Source organism: Homo sapiens, chromosome 11 (genome assembly GCF_000001405.40).
Source record: "Homo sapiens chromosome 11, GRCh38.p14 Primary Assembly".
NCBI lineage: Eukaryota > Metazoa > Chordata > Mammalia > Primates > Hominidae > Homo > Homo sapiens.
The window spans coordinates 103,103,904-103,125,680 of NC_000011.10; the positions used below are offsets into that span (position 1 = coordinate 103,103,904).

Sequence of the window (21,777 nt, forward strand, 5' to 3'; positions counted from 1 at the left end):
GGAATTTCCTCACCCAATTATGGAGGCCAAGAAGTCCCAAGTTATGCTGTCTGCAAGTTGGAAAACCAGGAAAGCTGGTGGTGTAATTCAGCCTGAGTCTCAAGACCTTGGAACATGGTGTGCTGCTGGTATAAATTCTGAAGTCAAAAGGTCCCAAAGCTAGGAGTTCTGATTTTCCAGAGCAGAAGATGGATGGCCCACCACCAGAAGATAGCAAGTTCACCCTTCCTTGCCTTTTTGTTCTATTTGAGTCCTCAAGGGATTGGATGATGCCTGCCCACATTGATGAGGGCTATCTTCTTACCCAGTCTATTGATTCAAATACTAATCTTTTCCTGAAACACCCTCACAAATACACCCAGAAATAATGTTTTACCAGCTATCTGGGTATCATTTTATCTAACAACTTGACTAGTATTTTTTCCTTTAAATTTACTAAATTACAAAGCATCTATTTAACAAGTAGGGCAATATTGTATAACCAACACTATATATTTAACATATTTGCCAATATTTATCAAACATAATGGGTAAAATGGAAAAAAATCTTTATCCTATATTCACCTTCATGGAATAGATGCAGATACCTTAGAAATCATCTAGAAGGCTAGATTTCTGGAGGAACTTGAAATATTTTCAGAGGAACTACAAGGTCAGAACTGTTTTCACAATAATAGTGAAACATTATGTATCTCCGCTGCTATGCTTGACATTTTCATCGATGGTGCAGTAGCAATGGCAGCTACGGTAGGCAGAATTCTAGGAAGGCCCCAAGGCCACTGCTCCCTGGCACGCACACTTTGAAGAGCCCCCTAACCTTGAGTGTGGAGGAAATCTGTGAATATGACGGTATATCACTCCCGTGCCTAGTTTACTCATCAGTTGACTTTGAGTTAATGAAAAAGGAGATTATTCGTTGGGCCTGATCTAATCAGGTGAATCCTTAAAAGGAACTGGCTTCTTGCTGTTATAAAAGAGATTTGAGGCACAAGGGAGCTTAGATGTGTTAGGAAGTTCTCTACTGTTGGCTTAAAAGACGGAGGATAAGAATGTGGGCAATATCTAATTGCTGAGTGGCCCCAGCTGACATCCAGCAAAGAAATGAGGACCTCAGTCTTACAACTGCAAGAAAATGCATTCTGCATCAACTATAAGAGGACTCTAAGCTCCAAATGAGAATGCAGCCTGGCTGACATCTTGATTTATGCCTGTGAGACCCTTAGCATGCAGCACCCAGCCTCCTGACTTATCAGACTTTTAGCTAATAAATGGGTGTTATTTTAAGCCACTAAATTTGTAGTAGTTTGTTACACAACAATGTAAAACAATGCAGTGGCTAAAACAGCTGGCAAATTGACACAAATCAAGGGTGGGGCACCAAACTGCTTTACTAATCATCTATTCTTCACATGCATGCATTCACTGGAAAAGATTCCAGTTTCATTTAAGAATCTCCTGGATGAAGGAGTAAAATTTATTCTTTTCATTAAATCTTAAACCTTCAGTACTAGTCATTTCAATATTTTGAACAATGAAATAATATACCGTAAAACACTGCTGCATTGAAGTATTAATAATGGCCTGTTTCAAGGAAAATAATTTTGTGATTGTCTGAGTTATGGTCAAAACTAGCTGTTTTTTTTTCATGGAAGACCATTTTTACTTGAAAGAATAACAAAATAATGTTATTCAGACTTTGATATTTGGCAGAAATTTTTCTTAAAAATGAATGAAATGAGCTTATCACTTCCAGGGAAACAATTGACCTTATTTGTGGCCAATGATAAAATTCAAGTGTTCCTGCAAAAATTAGAATCTTGGATAACTTAAATTCTCTACTGTAAGTTTGACAACCTCTCCATACATAAAGACTTTTTCTTGGCCAGGCGAGGTGGCTCATTCCTGTAATCTCAGCACTTTAGGAGGCTGAGGTGGGAGGATCACTTGAGCACAGGAGTTTGAGACTACAGCAAGGTATGATCAAGCCACTGCACTCCAGCTTGGGTGACAGAGAAAGACCCTGTCTCTAAAAAGACTTTTTCTTATAAGATCAGTGGTGTATTAATAAATGTGATTTTAAAAATATTATATAAGCAAATGTATCAATATTTGGAAGATCTTCATAGCTTAGGAACCAATACTTTCTAAATGACCAATGTATGATGTTATGAAATTATGTGCGAGCAAAAGATACATTCAAAGTGCTAGAAAACCAATGGATTTTAATGTAACTGAGTATGAAATATTCATTGATCTGGTTCCAAATTCCAAATTTTAACTATCCTTTAAGAAACTACTACTTGTGGAATGTTAGTTTAGTATAAAAGAATATTCACAAGCATCTATTAAAATCTTCATTTTTTAGCTTCTCAATTTTTAAACTACATATCTGTGTGAGGCTGGATATTCTCTATATACTTCAATCCAAACAACGTATTGCAAGAGATGGAATGCAGAAGAACATAGAGGATCCAGTTGTCTTCTGTTAAGGCAGACAGGAAAGGGACTTAACAAAAATGTAAAAACAATGCCATTCTTCTCATCATTTTTTTTTGCCTTTTAGAAATATAATTATTTTCATAAAAATGTTATTTATTTTACCAAGAATGGTCTTATTATGCTTATTTTAAGATAGATAGATATTTCAAAAATTTCTCAGTTTTAATTTTGATTACAATAAATGTTGATAGAAATAAACTACAGAAACAAAATCCTTTTGAAGTCTTCAGTAATTTTTTTTATTTTATTTTTTTTGAGACAGAGTCTTGCTCTGTTACTCAGGTTGGAGTGCAGTGGCACGATCTTGGCTCACTGCAACCTCTGCCTCCCAGGTTCAAGCTATTCTTCTGCCTCAGACTCCCGAGTAGCTGGAATTACAGGTGTGCGCCACTGTGCCCGGCTAATTTTTGAATTTTTAGTAGAGACGGGGTTTCACCATATTGGCCAGGCTGGTCTCAAACTCCTGACCTCATGATCTGCCCGCCTCAGCCTCCCAAAGTGCTGGGATTACAGGCGAGAGCCACTGTGCCTGGCAGTAATTTTTTAAAGTATAAAAATAATTGTTTAAAGTATAAAGTATAAAAAGGTCACCAAAAAGTTTGGGAAATGGCATATAGGACAAAATTAGGAAACCCTGTCTCAGAAAGTTTTGGGCCTTCCCCTTCAGCTCACGTTACCTGTTTTTATGCCACCTGCCAGACAACTGCTAAGACAATGCTCCACATTAAAAAAAAAAATCATTACTACACTATGGATATCAATTACTCTTTTGGTTAGAGTAGCCTAAATTGCCATAAAAATAGCCCACACAGTTTAATGTACAATGCCTCAAACACAACAAAGCTTATTTCTTGCTTATTTAACAACTGCAGACATTATTCCACTCTGTGATTCAGGATCCTAGGGTCCTACTCTTGGAAAGTTTTGCCATCCCTGTTGCTTTATTGTTATCTGCAACCAGCTGGCAAAAGTTAAGGTATTCTCACTTCTTTAAAACTTTGCCTTGAAGACGCACACATTACTTCTTCTCACATTTTATTGGTGAGAATTAGTCACATGACCACACCTGGATGGTAGCCACTTCTTAGCTATGGAAGGGAAAAATAGATTTTGGTGGATATCTGGCTAACACTGTGATATGGTATATAGAGATTGGCTCAGAATTGGATTTTGGTAGGAATCTTGGTTCTACCACTTACCATCTCTGTGTTTTTGTGTAAGTTATTTAATCTGTGAGGTTCTTTCTTCTTTATTGTATGCTTGATACAATACATAAAGTCCGTATCTGTCTTTTCTTCCCACTCTGTGCCTCATTTTTCGTATATAGTAGTGAAAAGGAAACACAAAACTTCTATTTCATGGGGTTTACATGTCAACGGGAGCTTCCATGTTTGAGATCGGTGTTAAACTTGATTCAAACACAATTTCATAGTTTGTGGAAGCCCTAAGTTTCCTGAAGAGTTCTAAAAATTCTTGGGAGGATCACATACTCATGATCTCATCTGCTTTCTAGACTCATCTTCCTACATGTGTTGCCTTTTTATTTACCATATTGTTATGGAAGCTCAATTCAGCCATTTCATACATTTCCACCAAAACAACTCACCAAACCGAGCACTTGTGGGTAATGGAGACTTTCCTGAAGACCTTGGTAAGAGTGATAATGCTCATTGCAGAGCAGGAAACTCTGTAACCATAGTGGTCACTTTGGCTTTCAAAATCTTTTTATTAGCTACACAGTCATCTTGGGTTCCTGTTAGGATTTTTTCCCTCACCCAGTGGTCAGCATCCCACCTCACTGTTTGGATGTTTTCCCATCCAGTGGCCAGACTCCCATCTCTCACTGTTTGGATATTTCATGAGAATTTACATTCATTTCCTTTTATAATTTAGAGCAGTTCAGCTTTTTTAAGTTCCCACTCCAAAATCTTAAGTTGCTCAGCAAATAAAAGGACTCTCTCCTTCCAATTCTCAAATAGTATAGTTTTAAGGGGAGGTTATGATTATTAAGTGCAAACAAAAAAAATCTGCATATGTTTGTGTACCCTAGGATCTTGGGTCAAACCAGTGCTGAGGTGATGAATGACTACAGCAAAAACTTCCTGAGGGCAGGAACTGTGTCCCCAGGGCCTAGTTCGGTACTTGGCAAATTGTGTTAGATTGGTGCAAAAGTAATTACAGTTCTTGCCAAAAAACCGCAATTACGTTTGCACCAACCTAATAGCATGTAGTAAATATTTTTAGAAGAGAATTACTGAATTGAGAAAGTGTTTGACGAATGTTCGGATGAATGACCAGCAATTTAGTAGTTTATAGTAATGCCATGAAGTAGAAAATGACAAAGACCGTTTTCATATCTGTATTTTCACAGAATTTGGTTGCGGTTGTTATAAAATAAACTAAAAAGTATCATTTTACATTTTAGCTATTTTACAAATATGGTTGTGCTCGGGTAATGATTGCAATAAAAAATTGCTGGTTAAATTATTCTAAAATTAATAATAGAAAAAACGATGTTGGGAAATGCAGCAGCACAGAAAGGAGCAGAGGGCGACTGAGAAAGTAAATTAACATTGTATTGAATTCCTAGTCTTTATAAGCTTCTCTAAAAAGCGATTTTTAAATAGTAATCTTTTACAATCCGCACTACACCCCTGGTTGTGAGATAGTATTTCCCCTTCTTAACAGATGTGTACCTTGACGCTGACAGACTGGTTTGCTACCAGGTGCACGTGGAGAGCGAGCACTGGAACCCAGCTCTCCTAAATCTAGATCACGCTGCTGTACTTGAAGGCTAGATGTCTCTCTTCTGATTATGCGTGATAAGAAATCAGTAAGAAGAATAAAAGACATGTTTGAGAGCCAACATAAACTTGTCCGAACCCCTTACAATCGATGACCGCAGGGAGCCGCTGAAGAGCTCCGAGGCGGTCGATAGCCTCCGCGAGCTTTGCGTGCGCGTGCCCCGAGAGGGCAACGCCCACCGCGCGCCGCCAGCGACGCCGCCGTAGTGCTCCGTCGCCATAGCGACTACCCCTGGCAACCGCGAAGCTCTGCGGTCCCGCGGTCGGGCTACGGGTTTGAGCAAAGCTCCTCTCTTCCCTTCACTTCCCTCCGGACTGGTTTCTTCTTCCTTCCCCCTTCCCCCAACTTCCCTCCACCCCTTCCAATCATGGCGAACGGGACTGCGGACGTTCGGAAGCTCTTCATCTTCACTACTACCCAGAATTACTTCGGGTTGATGTCTGAACTCTGGGATCAGCCACTGTTGTGCAACTGTCTTGAAATCAACAACTTCTTGGATGACGGCAACCAGATGCTCCTCAGGGTGCAGCGATCCGACGCAGGAATCTCCTTTTCCAACACGGTACGGTTCCTTGCACTCCTGCCTGACCCCTGACCACTCTTCAAGTCCCCAGGCCCAGCCAGAGGGACGTCGGGTCACACTCTTTAGCTTTACCAACCAGATCCTTTTCAGGAACCCAAGGCTGTCTCCACTTCTCCTGCATTATTGGCTTAGATGCGTTGGCCTCGTGCTTAAGCAGGTAGTTTCCAAGCTTTGCATCCTACCTGACCGAAGCATGTTTCCCTTCCATACATCTGAATAGAAGCAATTAGATTGTGTTTTATTTTAAATTTTTATACGGAGTTTCGTTCTGTCGCTTAGGCTGGATGGAGTGTAGTGGCGCGATCTCTGCTCACTGCGTCCTCCACCTCCTGAGTTCAAGCGATTCTCGTGCCTCAGCCTCCCGAGTAGCAGGCGCGCGCCGCCACGCCTGGCTAATTTTTGTATTTTCAGTAGAGACGGGGGTTTCACCACGTTGGCCATGTGGGTCTCCATCTCCTGACCTCAAGTGATCCGGCCTCCCAAAGTGCTGGGATTGCAAGCATGAGCCACCGCGCCCGGCCTATATTCTACTTTTTAAGAAAGACTGCAGATACGTTATAACTAAAAAGAAAACATTTACTTAGTTATTTTTATTTTTTTCTCTCCCCTTTTTGAGTTTTTTTTTTGGGGGGAAGGCAAATTCTAGTCTATCTTTTTTGGATCAGGCTCTGATTTTAACATTGCCCAAGGGAAAGATTAGTTAGGAATTTAAATTTTTGTGAAATGATATATTTCAAAATAAAGTTTGAATTCTTTTTTGGTGTACATCATGTGATATACTGATTTATTAATTGCACTGCTCCCTCCACTGGCAGGATTGCTTAAAAAATGGGTTGCATTTGCAATCAGGGCTTATATATATAAGCCTAAAAGAAAAACACAGAAGAAAATTGCCTGACACATTAAAGGGGACTCAGTAAATAGATTTAAGTTAATAAAACAAAGACATATTTTAAACCTCTTCCTTTGGTGTTCACCCTTATCCCTAGGTCTAGCAGAGTTTTTGACACTCAGCAAAAACATTCAGTGCCTTTTTTTTTTTTTTTAGACGCAGTTCGCAGTTTCGCTCGTATTACCCAGGCTGGAGTGCAATGGCACAATCTTGGCTCACTGCAACCTCTGCCTCCCGGGTTCAAGCGATTCTCCTGCCACAGCCTCCCAAGTAGCTGGGATTACAGGGCATGTGCCACCACACCCAGCTAATTTTTTGCAATTAGTAGAAATGGGGTTTCACCATGTTGGTCAGGCTGGTCTCGAACTCCTGACCTCAGGTGATCCACCCGCCTTGGCCTCCCAAAGTGCTGGGATTACAGGTGTGTGCCACCGTGCCTGGCTTCAGTGCATTTTTATAGGATGATTGAATCATTCACCCTATTCACTATCTTTATTCTTAGGTTTAATTCGATTGTATTTAATAAACATTTACTTTGAACTCAGTACATGCAAGGCACTTTGCCAGGCATGATGGGTTTACAAAGATATAAAAAGGATGGATAATCATAGCTAACATTTATTTTCACTTTAGACTCTGTCAAGCACTGTTCTAAGTACTTTATATGTATTCGTTCATTTAATAGCCATAACGACATTGTAAGATAGGAACTATTCTTTTTCTTATTTTATGGCTGAGGAAAGTAAGGGACAAAATTTACAACCTAAATGTTAACTTTTCTTTTTCTCCAATAGGTAGCGTAGTTCAGGATAGAGCCCCCTGCTTTCTGCCTTTCCTAGACTCACTCCAGTGGCTTAGGATGACATATACTCAGCAAATGATAAAATCAGGACACACTGTTGTAAATGCCACTGAAAGTTCGGATAGAATGCAGTAGGAAAGATGGAAAGGGGTTTGGATTCGTGAAAGTGTATCTTGGCTTGGGTATTTGAAAGTTGAAGGTAGAACTTTTTTTTTTTAAGTTAAAGCTATTACTAGTAAAGCCCAACGATGTATCTGTTATTTTTAGTTGTACACTTCGCTACAGGTTTTTAGTCATATTTGAAAATATTTTGTTATGTCTTCAGTTGTACTTTAGTTGCCTGATAGTTAGCGTGATTCAATAAGTTAATAAGTCAGCAAATATTTATTGCCTACCTACTAGTACTGGGGACAAAGCCATGAACACAGAGTCCGTATCTTAAAGGAGTAACATTGGAATGGACAAAGGTAGGCTAAACGCATGCTACAGATATATGTAACATAATTTTGGGTATTGATAAGTGCCGTTAAGATAAAAATAATGTTATAGTAGTGATGGGGCAGCGTGGGGAACTAAAGATATATAGGGTGGGAGATAATCCCTCTCTGGATTAGTTATCTTTGAAGCGAGATTTGAATGATGAGTTGCAGGCAGGCATAACCTGGGGGAAGAGTGTTCTAAGCAAAAGAAACTGTAAGTACCAAGGCCCTGAGCTGGGTTTTAACTTAGTTTCCAGGGGCAAGAAAAAAAATCCAGAGTGATTGCTGGAGTTTATGGTATGAAGGAACATTGTGGTAGATGAGAAAGGAGAATAAGGCACAGGCTGATCATTTAGGACACTGTATACCATTTAAATTGAAATAGGAAGTTATTGGTAATCTTAAGCAAGAGAGAGCTGTGATCTGGTTTATGCTTTAGGACAGAGGTTGGCAAAAAGTTTTCTGTAACGGGTCAGATAATATTGCAGGCAACAAGGGCTCCATTAGCAGCTACAACTTGGCCTTTGTAGTGTGAAAGCAGACATGTAATACTTTGTAATAATACATGTAATTGAATGGGAATGGCTATGTTCTAATAAAACTTTATGGACACTGACATGTGGATTTCATATACTTTTCATGTGTCATGAAATGTTATAAGCATTTGAGCAGTAACAAAGTTTCAGCTCCTTTCCAGTGGCCAAAAATGTAATTATTTGGATAGAAATAAGTGGCATGAGACCCATAGCTGTTCTTCCTACACAGCAGTGACCTTGTCTGAAAGCTTTTTAATGTGTAGACTTCTTTTCCTGAAAAAAGAAATGAGAATAACTGAGAATGTGTGTATAATGCAAAAACTTCCTTTGACTAGTATAGTTCTCAGCTAATGAACTCATTACTATGAACTGACCTATTTTAAACAAGATTGCTGTAGTGAATTCCAATTGAGTTCATCTGGTTCCGATTTAAAATAATCTAGCTATATGACAATTTAACAAAGTTTTATGCTCTTAACTCTTTAAGGAAAAATTTTCAGTTAAGATAAAGTTAATTTCAGGAGATAGACAACTTAAGTTCATTTTGGTAGTTTTGAGTGCATGTATAATTTTAAAAGCACCTTTTAAAATGCTTTTTCTAAGTAAGAGGGTAATTAATTACATTTTGTTATAGACTTTCTGGGTTACTAGAGAAGCACACTACTCATTGTGTACCTGGAGCCTACAGCTTTCATCTGTACTATTACTGATTCTGGCTAGAATGGACTCTGGCTGGAATGGAATCTGGCTGGAATGGAATCTGACTGGAATGGAATAGTTAGCAGTCAACAACGTATATATTGTTTTATGTTTATAAATAACTTATCAAAGTGACTTTATGATCTAATGTAAGTGGGAATAAGTTTTTAAACTGAAGTATTCTTAAGGAAAGAAGAGATAAATTGGTTTTAATATATTTATTTTTAAAGTAACTATTTTTTTCCAAGAGGTATAATTATAGTGATAGAACTTTGTCTACATTTTTTTCAAATATTAAATTTTATGAAGATAACATTAAAAATCATTTATCACTTTAGATTGAGTTTGGTGACACAAAAGATAAAGTGCTGGTGTTTTTCAAGCTGCGACCTGAAGTAATTACTGATGAGAATCTACATGATAACATTCTTGTTTCATCTATGTTAGAGTCACCTATTAGTTCTCTTTACCAAGCAGTACGGCAAGTATTCGCACCAATGTTGTTAAAGGTGAGAAAAGAAGCTGTCATTTTTTTTAACTGAGGTATTTGGATAAATGTTTTCATATAAACATAAATATCTATTTTTTACTGTTAATGTTAGTAGTGTTTTAATTTTAATTAAAATATCTTTTCTTAACTTTTTTTAACTTAAATTTTAATGTAAGTTGTGGTAAAAAATAGAGAAATTGGAGAAAGGTATAAAATGCAATCCACATCAACTCAACATTTCTACATTAAATGCTTTTCATAGTTTTAACTGTTGAGAGGACTTTTTATTCTTCTTATGAAGTGGAGGTAGTGGCAGGCTTTAAGAAAAATGGGGTTTTGGACAGTGTTTTGGGAAGCCAATTTGATTAGCAAAATTTTGATCAATCTTGGTTGCTCTTGTCTGTTTTTATTTAGGATCAGGAATGGAGCAGAAACTTTGATCCCAAACTTCAGAATCTTTTGAGTGAACTAGAAGCTGGGTTGGGTATAGTTCTACGAAGATCAGACACTAACTTAACAAAATTGAAATTTAAGGAAGATGACACACGAGGTATATAACCATAGCTTAATAAAAGAGAGTACAAAATGATTGTCTCATTAATACATTAGTAAATGAACATATTTCTTCATAGATTTCTTCAAATACTTTTGGAATTTCTCTGAGCATAGGTTTTAAAAAATGAGTAGATTTATGTGGATGTAGAGAAGAGGAAAATATAATTGTTAATAATGTGCAATCTAGCTTGAGCCTCCAGAGTAGCTAGAACTACAGGTGCATACCACTATCCGCTGGCTAATTTATTTTAGTTCTTGTAGAGATGGGGTCTTGCTGTATTGCCCAGGCTGGTGTCAAACTACTGGCCTCAAGGGATCCTCACTACTAGGCCTCCCAAAGTGCCGAGGCAGTAGTTGTGTTCTATAAAGTCACTGTAAACACTGTAAACACTGAATTAGTGAATATTGAACCTTTGTTCCTAGGAGCAATACAAGATTAGGTTCCTTTGAGCCCCTGGTCATAACATCTCATCAACTGATCAATACATAACCTTATTATTTTTTTTCTGTTTAAAGACACTTTAATTTGTGTATATTGTTGATTCATTAACATTGACTTAATGGCTAACAGCACTGTAACTCATGCCTGAATGAAGTTTATCTAGTATATGTATTTTTTCGGTAAGGTACATTACAACCTTCTTGTGCTTTGGAACACTAGACAGCAATTTAGCACTTTTTTGGGGGCCATTTTAAACAGCGAATCACTAACAAAAAGCACACAGATCTAAAAAATGTGGCACTAAGTAGACTTCAGGAAGGACACTTTGTTTATAGTATGAAATAGGAAACAATAAGGAAGTGTCACCTATTTGACCTCAGCTAGGAGCATATGTGTTAGATGACTCAAATATTTTGCTGCTCTGCTGTTTTGTATTCATTTTTTTTTCTCTGATATTCTATGCCATTTTTTTCCCCTCTTGACTTTTATAGGTATCCTTACACCAAGCGATGAGTTCCAGTTTTGGATAGAACAAGCTCACCGTGGAAATAAACAGATTAGTAAAGAAAGAGCCAATTATTTTAAAGAATTATTTGAAACAATTGCAAGAGTATGTGATTCATAAATGGTGATATATTGGGCTTCTTATAAAAGTACTTTGGGATTCAATTTTTACAGCCTCTCTTCTGTTTTAAAATGTACTTGATGATTGTGAACAAAATAGATTCTTTATATGGAGAAAACTTTAAGTTGTATATGTAAAATGAATTGAGAAATCCAAAACTTAAATTCTAATCTCTATAAAATATTTTTCTCAAAAACAAAATTACGCCTGGGCATGGTGACTCACACCTGTAATCCCAGCACTTTGGGAGGCCGAGGTGGGTGGATCACTTGAGGTCAGGAGTTCGAGACCAGCCTGGCCAACACGGTGAAACCTCGTCTCTACTAAAAGTACAAAAATTAGCTGGGCGTGGTGGTGAGCGCCTACTCGGGAGGCTGAGGCAGGATAATCACCTGAACCTGAGAGGTGGAGGTTGCAGTGAGCGGAGATCGTGCCATTGCACTCCAGCCTGGGCAAGAGTGCGAGACTCCATCTCTAGAAAAAAACAAAAAACAAAAAAAACCCCAAAATTACTTTTCTGCAGGTATATAGTGAAAAACAAATATAACAGGTTTATCCATGCACAGGTAATACGTTCTTTTGAATGGGTATTCACTTTGTTCAAATTAGCATTTTGAAGTAATCTGAAATACTAAAAGTTTTAGTTTTATGCTTATTTAACTGATTATTCCTTTATGTGTCTACATTGAAATTGAGTGACCATTTTAAGTATGAACATAAAAAGTCTACTCTTTTCAAAACAAATATATATTAATTTTCTACTCATTTCCACTATTATTTCAATAATATTTTAATAGACTGTTTTAAATGGTTTTAAGCTTTTTTTGGTAACAATGATGAAATATAGCATGACAAATCTGGACTGTGGTTGTGTTATTCTTAAACATAATATTATGAATTAATAATGAATGAATAAAGACATGCGAACTACAGTGGGTAGTGTATATGTGGAGTTGAGATAACCTTTAATGGGTAAATTTTAAAAAATCAAAATTTAAAGAAAATTAGGCCAATTGTGTAAATGAATGAGTAGACTTTTTACAATTTTTATATATTCTTTCTTTTCATGACATTGATGTTTGGGGGGAAATTATAGGGTATTTGCATATGGAAGTAGTTATAAGCTGTTAGAAAAAGGAGGAGAAAATAATATGGCAAATATTAGAGTTGTGGCAGTTGAAAAGGCCTGGGAACATTTTGATTATATTACCCAAGGTACAAATATAATTATGTTTAAAAATTAATGCATTTTTTTCTAGGAGTTTTATAACTTGGACAGTCTATCCTTACTAGAAGTTGTTGACTTGGTGGAGACTACTCAGGATGTTGTAGATGATGTGTGGAGACAAACAGAACATGATCATTATCCTGAGTCACGAATGTTGCATCTCTTAGACATCATAGGTACTAGTAAAAAAATGAACTTTTGGAATTTTGAAAACCTGTCTTATTTTGTTATCTTTTTATCCTTTAAGTCCTTACTTAAAATGCTCCTTTATGTAATACTGTAACTCTTAAAGCAAATCATGTAGCATTATTTAAATAGATATTTGTATATAGTTGGGTGGTATAAATCATATGTGTCAAATTCTTTGAACCATTGATATAACCAAATTTACATAGATTTTTAGTATTTATATATATATTTAGGCTATTTTGAAATAAACTGAAAAATTATTTAAAATATATAGGCTTATTTGTTAATATTAAATTTTTTGACCTAGAAAATACCCTTGTCATTATTTTATAAGGAAATGTCAGATAAGTACATAAGGTTATATGTACAAATATATTTATTGCAGCATTGTTTGTGATGAGCAGAAGTAAATAGCAATTAGGGATTGTTTACATAATGCAGTATCCATACAGTAGGCTCTGCAGCCTTGAGGAAATTGTATATATATATATATATTTAATATATGTATATATATATTTAATATATATATTTTATATATATATATTTTTTAATATATATATTTTTATTATACTTTAAGTTCTAGGGTACATGTGCACAACGTGCAGGTTTGTTACATATGTATACATGTGCCACGTTGGTGTGCTGCATATGTATTTCTATACTTAAAAGGTGTAATGGTATATTGAAAATTGAAAGATGCAAAAATGCAAAGCAATATGTATGTGTGATTTTAAAAATATTTGTTACTGAGAGTGGTAGTCTAAGGACATGCATGTGGTATTTCATAGATCCTTAGTTGGCTAATTTGTATATTTTAAAAATATTGTCATAAGCATGTATTTTATAATTTTTCTATAAAAATACATTTATTTCCCTTAAACTCTTTGCTTTATGTTTTATTAGGTGGTTCATTTGGAAGGTTTGTTCAGAAAAAGTTGGGAACTTTGAACCTGTGGGAAGATCCTTATTATCTTGTGAAAGAAAGTCTGAAAGCTGGTATTTCAATTTGTGAACAGTGGGTGATAGTCTGTAATCATCTAACAGGTCAGGTGTGGCAGCGCTATGTTCCTCATCCATGGAAAAATGAAAAATATTTTCCAGAAACACTTGACAAACTTGGCAAACGCCTTGAAGAGGTATCAATTTGATTATCTAGATCTTTGTCTTTAAATGTAAAGTGTATCTTCACTTGTTTGTAAATGTATTTTATAATCAATAAGCACTATACATCTGCTGGAAATTAGTTTTGTGAGAGAATAGGAATTAAAGTTCTTGTTGGGCCAGTTTCTACATCCTTTCTTTTTATTTTGTGTGAGACTGGTCAACTTGATAGTTGTGAGCTTATATTTTGTTTTTTATTGTAAAAAGATAATCAGCCCACTTGACCATGTATGGAAGCTTTCAGGGGGTCTTTTGGCTATTGCAATTGTTTTTAAGTTGGGACAACTTTTTAAGTGGTATTCAGTGGAAATATTTGAAACAATTGCTTAATTTACACAAGTTATGAGTTTCAGTAAAGAACATATATTCAGCTTACAGGGACAGGCAAAATGAGATTACTTAAAGATTGCAAAACTGACCATTCCTGCCTTGCTTAGAAGAACTATAGTTCTTTATTAGAGACTTTTTTAAAAAAAAAAACAAAACTTTTTTAAAAAATGAAATATTTCAAACATATTAAAAAGTAAAATAGTATAATGAATGTCCACGTATCCACCATTCAATTTTAATAGTCATTGACATTTTTCAATTCTTTTCTCATCTTTGTCTTCCCTGCCTTTCTCTTAACCTTTTTTTTTAAATGGAATATTTATAAAGCAGAGATATTGTATACTTCCACCCTTAAAACATAACCACAATGCCATTATCACAGCCAACAAAATGACGATAATTCCTTAATATCATTTTATGTCTAGCCAGCATGTATTTATCCTGATTTTCTCAGAAATTTGTAAATAGTTGGTTTACTTGAATGAGGTTGCAGACAAGGTGCACCCATTGTATTTGGTTGATAGGTCTCCTGAAACATTTTTAATTTAAAAGTTTCCCCTTTTTTTATGCCATATGGCATTTCTCACCTTGCTATATCAGGACGTATGTGGTATTAGGTTTTCCCATTTTTAGTGCTGTTAAGTTTAATCTGTGAGGGTTCAGGTATGATCAGTCTGATGAATTTATTATAATGCTCTCCAACTTTTAAAAAATGCTTTTAGCAGTCATTAATCATGAAGAGTTACAAAATGGTGATTTTCTAATTCTGGTGTTTTTTCTGCTTTTATTAGTCATGACTTTTCTATAAGAAGAATTTTTTCTTCAACTTTTTGTTACTTTGAAATATAGTTTGCATAGAAACGGCAGTATAGATAATTGCTTATTTCTTTTTATCACTTTAGAACAATGAACATTAAGTAGATTAGTGTCATAGTAAGTTCCATTGGCAACCAATGAAATGTTTTTTGATAGTGTCATTATGAACCCATAAATTTTTGTATTTTATGTGTTTCAGTCCATTTTAGTTATTATTATTATTATACTCAATTTGTTCAGTTTTTGGGCAGAGAGTGCCCCTTCAAGTTGCCTCCTATGCCATTTTGACATGACTTCAGTGTTTCTTTCTTTCCTTTTTTTTTGAGATGGAATCTCGATATGTTGCCCAGGTTAGAGTACAGTGAGGTGATCTTGGCTCACTGCAACCTCTGCCTCCCAGGATCAAGCAGTTCTCCTGCTTCAGCCTCCTGAGTAGCTGGGACTACAGGTGCACGCCACCACACCTGGCTAATTTTTGTATTTTTAGTAGAGATGGAGTTTCGCCATGTTGGCCAGGCTGGTCTTGAACTCCTGACCTCAGGTCATCCGCCCACCTCGGCCTCTCAAAGTGCTGTGATTACAGGCGTGAGCCACTGCACCTGGCCAACTTCAGTATTTCTTTGATAGCTTTCAAGCCCCCAAAAATGTTCCAGCCCAGCCCATGTTGTACATTTTATGTCTCATACCTAGAATTAGTAATTTTTTTCAAGGAGCCTCATTCTTTTTGGGGGCTATTTATCAACAGTCTGTAGGGGAAGTGCTGTTACTTAGTTATCAATGCTGTTAGGCATTCTCAGTAGACAGAACTGCTAACAGGTAAATTTTTAGCAAGAGAAAAATAAATCATGAGTTTATACTGAGATTTACAACTCAAATAGAAGGAATTGTTTTCACTTAACTTTTTTGATTACCTTTTGATTGTTGGTGGAAATTTTTAGCTCAAAATACAATATGTGTTTCCCAGCTGTTTGTAAATAATAAAAAATAGGGCTGTTAACATGTCATTTCATTATTAGAAGTGCAATTTAATGCAGAATAATGAAAATCAGAAGTTATTACTATATTAAGGGTAGGCTCTAAAAATTTACTTAAATGAGCTCTAAATATAGTTTAAACAGTTTTTTAAACTGTGTTAAACTTTAAACATAGTTTAAAAATGTTTAGGTCTTATATATTCACTAGATTTGAGCACACTTATTAATGTTAGTGTGAAGAAACAGTTATGTTTTTGAGCATCACTTTGTTGTTGTCACGTGGCAATTCTCTGGACTAGAGTTTCAGTTTTATTGGTTTTTTCTTTTTTTAGTAAACCTAATTTAAAGAAATTCTTGCCCAATATATCTAGATTTTAGACCTATTTATGCAAATGGTTGGATTTAAATAAATTCTGTTGTTTTAATACTTCATTTTAGGTCTTGGCTATTAGAACAATTCATGAGAAGTTTCTCTATTTTCTACCTGCCAGTGAAGAGAAAATCATATGCCTCACTCGAGTATTTGAACCTTTTACTGGCCTGAATCCTGTGCAATATAATCCATATACTGAGGTTGTATATATATTTGTTTATGTCTGTACAGTTTCCTGTTTATGTTGTTCTTTTTAAAGACAGATTTAAAAAATACTAAAGTCTAACAATGTTGTTAATGTATGTAGCCCTTGTGGAAAGCTGCGGTGTCTCAATATGAAAAGATTATTGCACCTGCGGAACAAAAAATAGCAGGAAAATTGAAAAATTATATTTCAGAAATTCAAGACAGTCCACAGCAGGTAAAACATTGAGATATTTCACTTTTAATATTTCTCTTAAGCTAATATATATATAAAAATATATATATATTTACTGAGTTGATCCGTTGGGATGAACATGTACTTATTTTATTTTATATTAGCTTCTTCAAGCATTCCTGAAATATAAAGAGTTGGTAAAGCGTCCAACTATAAGCAAAGAATTGATGTTAGAAAGAGAAACTTTACTGGCAAGACTTGTGGACTCAATTAAAGGTAAAAGTTTATGAGATTATAGTGTTTGCTTGAGAGAATATTTTTGTATATTACTTTTTTCTTCGTTGCATACCATTTAGGATTAAAGATACATTTTTCTGACATTTTCATGCTGAAGATTAATTTACTTATTCTGTTATAAATGACAGATTTTTTTGCATTAACAAGTTATTATAATTCGCTGTTTCATTTGATACATGGTACAGTCCTTGGGGATAAGGACCAACTCATTATTTTTCTTTCTACAGCATCTGACATAGTGCTTGGTACGTGGAAGTTATTTAGGAAATCTTTGCTAATTCTTTGTAATCATTTATTTGATTTAAATTTTATAGATTTTCGATTAGACTTTGAGAATCGGTGCCGAGGAATTCCTGGTGATGCATCTGGACCACTTTCTGGCAAAAATCTTTCAGAAGTTGTCAACAGTATAGTTTGGGTTCGCCAGTTGGAATTGAAGGTATTTATTTTAATAAAAGATGAAGAGTACTAATTATAAAATCTGCTAAATTAAGGCATGTAGAAGGTACTCTAGAGCTGTAGTAAATATATTCTCTGTTTTCCTTGGCATGTCTGTCTAATTTTCATACAAAATGCAGAACACTGAAAAAGTATGCAGAGGAGTCGTAATGGTTCTATTCCTTCTTTCTGTAGAGATAATGCATCATTTATTCCAATTGCAGTTGTTCCAAAGAAATACCTGTATTCAGGAGGAAAACATCCTTTATGCTGAGTAAAAAAAAGAAAAATTATTGTTTACAAAAATGAGCTGGACATGGTGCTGCACATCTGTAGTCCCAGCTACTCAGGAGGCTGAGGTGGGAGGATCACCTGAACCTGGGATATTGAGGCTGCAGTGAGCCATAATTGTGCCACAGTGCTCCATGGTGGACGACAGAAAGAGATGCTATCTCAAAAAAAAAATATTGTAAAATTTTAGTAGTTGCAAAGTCTTACCTGCAAGTATGTTTATGTAACTAAATCACTTTAGGTTGGAAGGAAGTTAAAGGAAAGGTAAAAGGTAATTATGGCATGGTCTAAGGTAGTGAGAACAATTTATAGATGTAAACGACTATTATTTTAATATTATTAAAATTGACCTAAGACTCTTATGGACTTACTAACTGGTATGTGGTTCAGTGTCTTGCATTAGACTTGTACAATAAATGTTAATTGATTATAGTCTGTGAGTAAGAGCAAGACCTCATGGAATATTACAAAAGCCAGCATGTTCGACATTTCTGCTTATTCAGGTTTGTATTTTTGATGTTTTATTTTCTGATATATTCTGCCTAATGTTTCTGTCAGTCAGTTTTCCAGGGTGCTCTAATGTTCTCTGTACAGTTGTGGAGGAAAGGCATTTATGTCTCTTAATTGACATTCCCTTTGGCCTAATTACTATTTGTGCTTTTAATCGGAGCATGTTGCTAAGGGCCGAAATTATTACTGAACATGTTTAGCAGTAATGCTGAAGTTCTCAGAGTTTCCTCTGAAAATCACTGGGGCACAGATATTTTGAGGGCTGACTTTCCCTTTACCCTCCATTTTATTCTTGGAGTTATGCCTTGTATGGGTTATCCTCTTGCGTTTGCTCTTCTGCGGCTGTATAATTCAGAAGCAAAGTAGGGGTTGATATTTTTATATTCTTTGGTGAATCTTCCGTTTCACTGTTTATAGATGAAAGGTAAAATAATTTCTGAATCACAGATCAGAGAAGGGGACTCCTTACTTTATGCTAATTTTTTTGGAATTTAAATAATGCACATGTCTGTAATTTGGCTTTTTAAGGTAGATGATACTATCAAGATTGCAGAGGCTCTTTTATCTGACTTGCCAGGATTTCGATGTTTCCATCAAAGTGCCAAAGATCTCTTAGACCAGCTTAAACTATATGAACAGGAACAATTTGATGATTGGTCCAGGGATATTCAATCAGGTTTATCTGATTCCAGATCTGGTTTGTGGTAAGTATAGATATATTAAACTGTAAAATCCAAAACCATATGTTATTAATCCAAATACCCAGAGGGAATTAATTATCTTTTTCCTTTCTCCAAACTTGCTACTCCTCCTGTAATTTTTTTTTGTTGTTTGTTTTTGATCATCAACTTTTAATTCATTAAGGCTGGAAACTTTGATGATTTAGTTAACTGCTTCCCTCTTGTTTCTCTTGTCTGTTCCCCAGAATTATGGATTCCCATTTTAGGATTAGTCTTTCCCCATGTTTTTTTATTATTGGTATTTATATGTTTTTCTACCTGTTTACATTAATATTATATGCACACACACACATACACTTTAAACAATGTTGTGGTTTTGTAAAATTGTATTATTTTTAAACTCCTTGAGACAGAGTATTTCTTCATGGTGCCCCACGTAATATGGCTTTGGTAAATATTTATTGAGCTATATTGAATGTATTAATGAGTTAACCTTATTAATTCTAATGGGAATTTAAATCTGGAATTCTGGCTCTGGAGGAAAAATAGAGGAAACTGAACGGTGTTAGGGCATAGTGATTATAATTTTATGCCATTTAGCTCTTTTTCCTTCTACTTTGAGCCTAAAACATGAGAGATACTCCAGGCAAGAAAAACAAAAAACAAAAAAAACCAGTGCTTTAGTCAACTAATTTTGGAAAATTTGCATACTTTATCATTAGAGCTTCAGTGGAGGTTCACTAGCATGGTAGCATACCAACGGTCTGAGATCTGCTGTTAGTAAGTTTGTTTAACTTTGTTCCTTCCACACAGCGTTTCTCATTAGGCTTTGAAACCCCCTCCTCCTGCCCTTTTTTTTTTTAGACCCATTTTTTGTCCCATAGAATCATCAGTGTGTTTTTGGACATATTTTGGGAAATGCTGGTATATACAAACTAAATTTGAAGATCAATCCTGAATAAAGGCAAAAAGAGTCACCATAATAGTTTACTGACATGATTTATTTGTATATAGGAAAATTTGGGCTAAATCATCATTTTAAGCCATTTTAAAGTGTTCTACTTTTTATTATATTTTGTTTTATATGCTATTAAATAAGCTGAATACTTTTGTTCTTTGCTTTTCAGTAAGTTACCTTCTAATACCTGCAATTTTTCTTAATTGTGAGGGTGATTTGAAATAATGAGGCTGGGTGTGGTGGCTTATGCCTGTAATCCCAGTACTTTGGGAGGCCAAGGTGGGAGAGGATCACTTGAACCCAGGAGTTTGAGACCAGCCTGAGCAACATGGCGAAATCCTGTCTCTACAAAAGACAAAAAAATTAGCCGAACATGGTGGCTTGCCTGTTGTCCCAGTTACTCAGGAGACTGAGATGGGAGGAATCCTTGAGCTCAGGGAGGTCAAGGCTGTAGTGAGCCATGATCGCTGTACTGCACTCCAGCCTGGGTGTTGGAGCAATACCCTGTCTCAAAAAAAAAAAAAAAAAAAAAAAGCAGCATTATATAAACCTAATCCTAAAGGAAGGTGATGAAAGCATAATACCTGTTGCTGAATTTAGTTCAAGCATTTTTACAATCCATTCTGATTTGAGTTCCCCAAAGTAATATTTGCTATTATAGCCTTTACAAGAAACACAAAAAAGGACAATTATTAGGTAGTGAAACAAAGGGTAGAAGAATGAAACGTTTTAATATCTCTACTCCTACCATTTTGATATTCCTTATTATTGATGTTTTAATAAAAGTACTAAAGAAGCAAGTACACTGATTTTTTTAAAAATCAAAGATACCTTTAGAAAATGAATCAAAATTTTTTCTTTATGGTGGATGTGATGTCAATTTTGAGTTTTAGCTGAAAGTTAAGAGATTGATTTTTCTTACTTTAAAACTGCTTGGTTGAAATATTAATGTGATGATCTATTTTGGATATTGCAGTTTGTTTCCAAAATCTGAATTGTGAAATAATATATGGAAAAAACCCACAACTTAAAAGCTATAATTAAAAAGTTTTTTTTTACTTTGAGCTAATATTAGATGTACAGAAAAGTTGTAAAAACCTATTGTGTTTATTAGTCAAAACAGTGAGAACATGAAACTTAACAGGTTATTTATTTTGTTTTATAGTATTGAGGCTAGTAGTCGAATTATGGAATTGGATTCTAATGATGGATTACTAAAAGTGCATTATTCAGATCGTTTGGTGATTCTTCTGAGAGAAGTTCGTCAGCTCTCTGCACTTGGCTTTGTTATTCCTGCCAAAATACAGCAAGTTGCAAACATTGCACAGAAATTCTGCAAGCAAGCAATTATTCTTAAACAAGTATGAAATTACATTTTTTGAATACCTGCCTATTTGGAGTTCATTACGTTAAACTAGAATATGCTAAAGGCTTTTTTTTTTTTTTTTTTTAGGCTCATAGAATAGCACTGCCAGCTGTGAAATTATGTTTTACTAAATGAGTCCATTACAAAATTTGCTTTGTAACCTATAAGGAATTTATTAAATTATTATTGTTTATTGCTTTTCACTCTAAAAAGCATTTAGAAAATAGTATGTTATTCTTCCTTCTTTTGTTTCATGTTACTTGCATGGGTTTTAAAGGGCCTTCTAATTAAGGAGTCCTCTGCCTGCCTTCTAGGAGCAGAGTCATAAAGAATTATCAGGTTGATGAATGGTTTCTGTTTCTAGTCATTTTCTCAGTCTA

At 35.3% G+C, this 21,777-nt stretch overlaps 1 protein-coding gene across 6 annotated transcripts in view, besides 2 other annotated features; it reads left to right on the top strand.

Moving 5' to 3' along the window:
- Positions 5,116-5,235: an enhancer, noted in NCBI's record as "active region_5451". NCBI's record gives its function as "activates an Ori minimal core promoter by ATAC-STARR-seq in GM12878 lymphoblastoid cells {active_cell/tissue: GM12878}" and the evidence as "EXISTENCE:reporter gene assay evidence [ECO:0000049][PMID:35858748]".
- Positions 5,306-5,355: an enhancer, noted in NCBI's record as "active region_5452". NCBI's record gives its function as "activates an Ori minimal core promoter by ATAC-STARR-seq in GM12878 lymphoblastoid cells {active_cell/tissue: GM12878}" and the evidence as "EXISTENCE:reporter gene assay evidence [ECO:0000049][PMID:35858748]".
- Positions 5,523-21,777, top strand: part of DYNC2H1 (dynein cytoplasmic 2 heavy chain 1) — a 370,438-nt gene continuing 354,183 nt past the window's right edge. For 5 of the 6 annotated variants that reach the window (NM_001080463.2, NM_001377.3, XM_017018291.2 and 2 more), the window contains exons 1-12: positions 5,523-5,866; positions 9,634-9,804; positions 10,200-10,335; positions 11,274-11,392; positions 12,667-12,811; positions 13,728-13,960; positions 16,544-16,678; positions 16,786-16,899; positions 17,022-17,133; positions 17,469-17,593; positions 18,922-19,097; positions 21,197-21,392. In NM_001080463.2, the coding sequence (NP_001073932.1) occupies positions 5,672-5,866; positions 9,634-9,804; positions 10,200-10,335; positions 11,274-11,392; positions 12,667-12,811; positions 13,728-13,960; positions 16,544-16,678; positions 16,786-16,899; positions 17,022-17,133; positions 17,469-17,593; positions 18,922-19,097; positions 21,197-21,392 (1,857 nt within the window). In that variant the 5' untranslated portion in view covers positions 5,523-5,671. Of the gene's footprint in view, positions 5,867-9,633; positions 9,805-10,199; positions 10,336-11,273; positions 11,411-12,666; positions 12,812-13,727; positions 13,961-16,543; positions 16,679-16,785; positions 16,900-17,021; positions 17,134-17,468; positions 17,594-18,921; positions 19,098-21,196; positions 21,393-21,777 lie in introns of those variants that run through there. The other variant, XM_017018292.2, reaches the window with a different exon arrangement.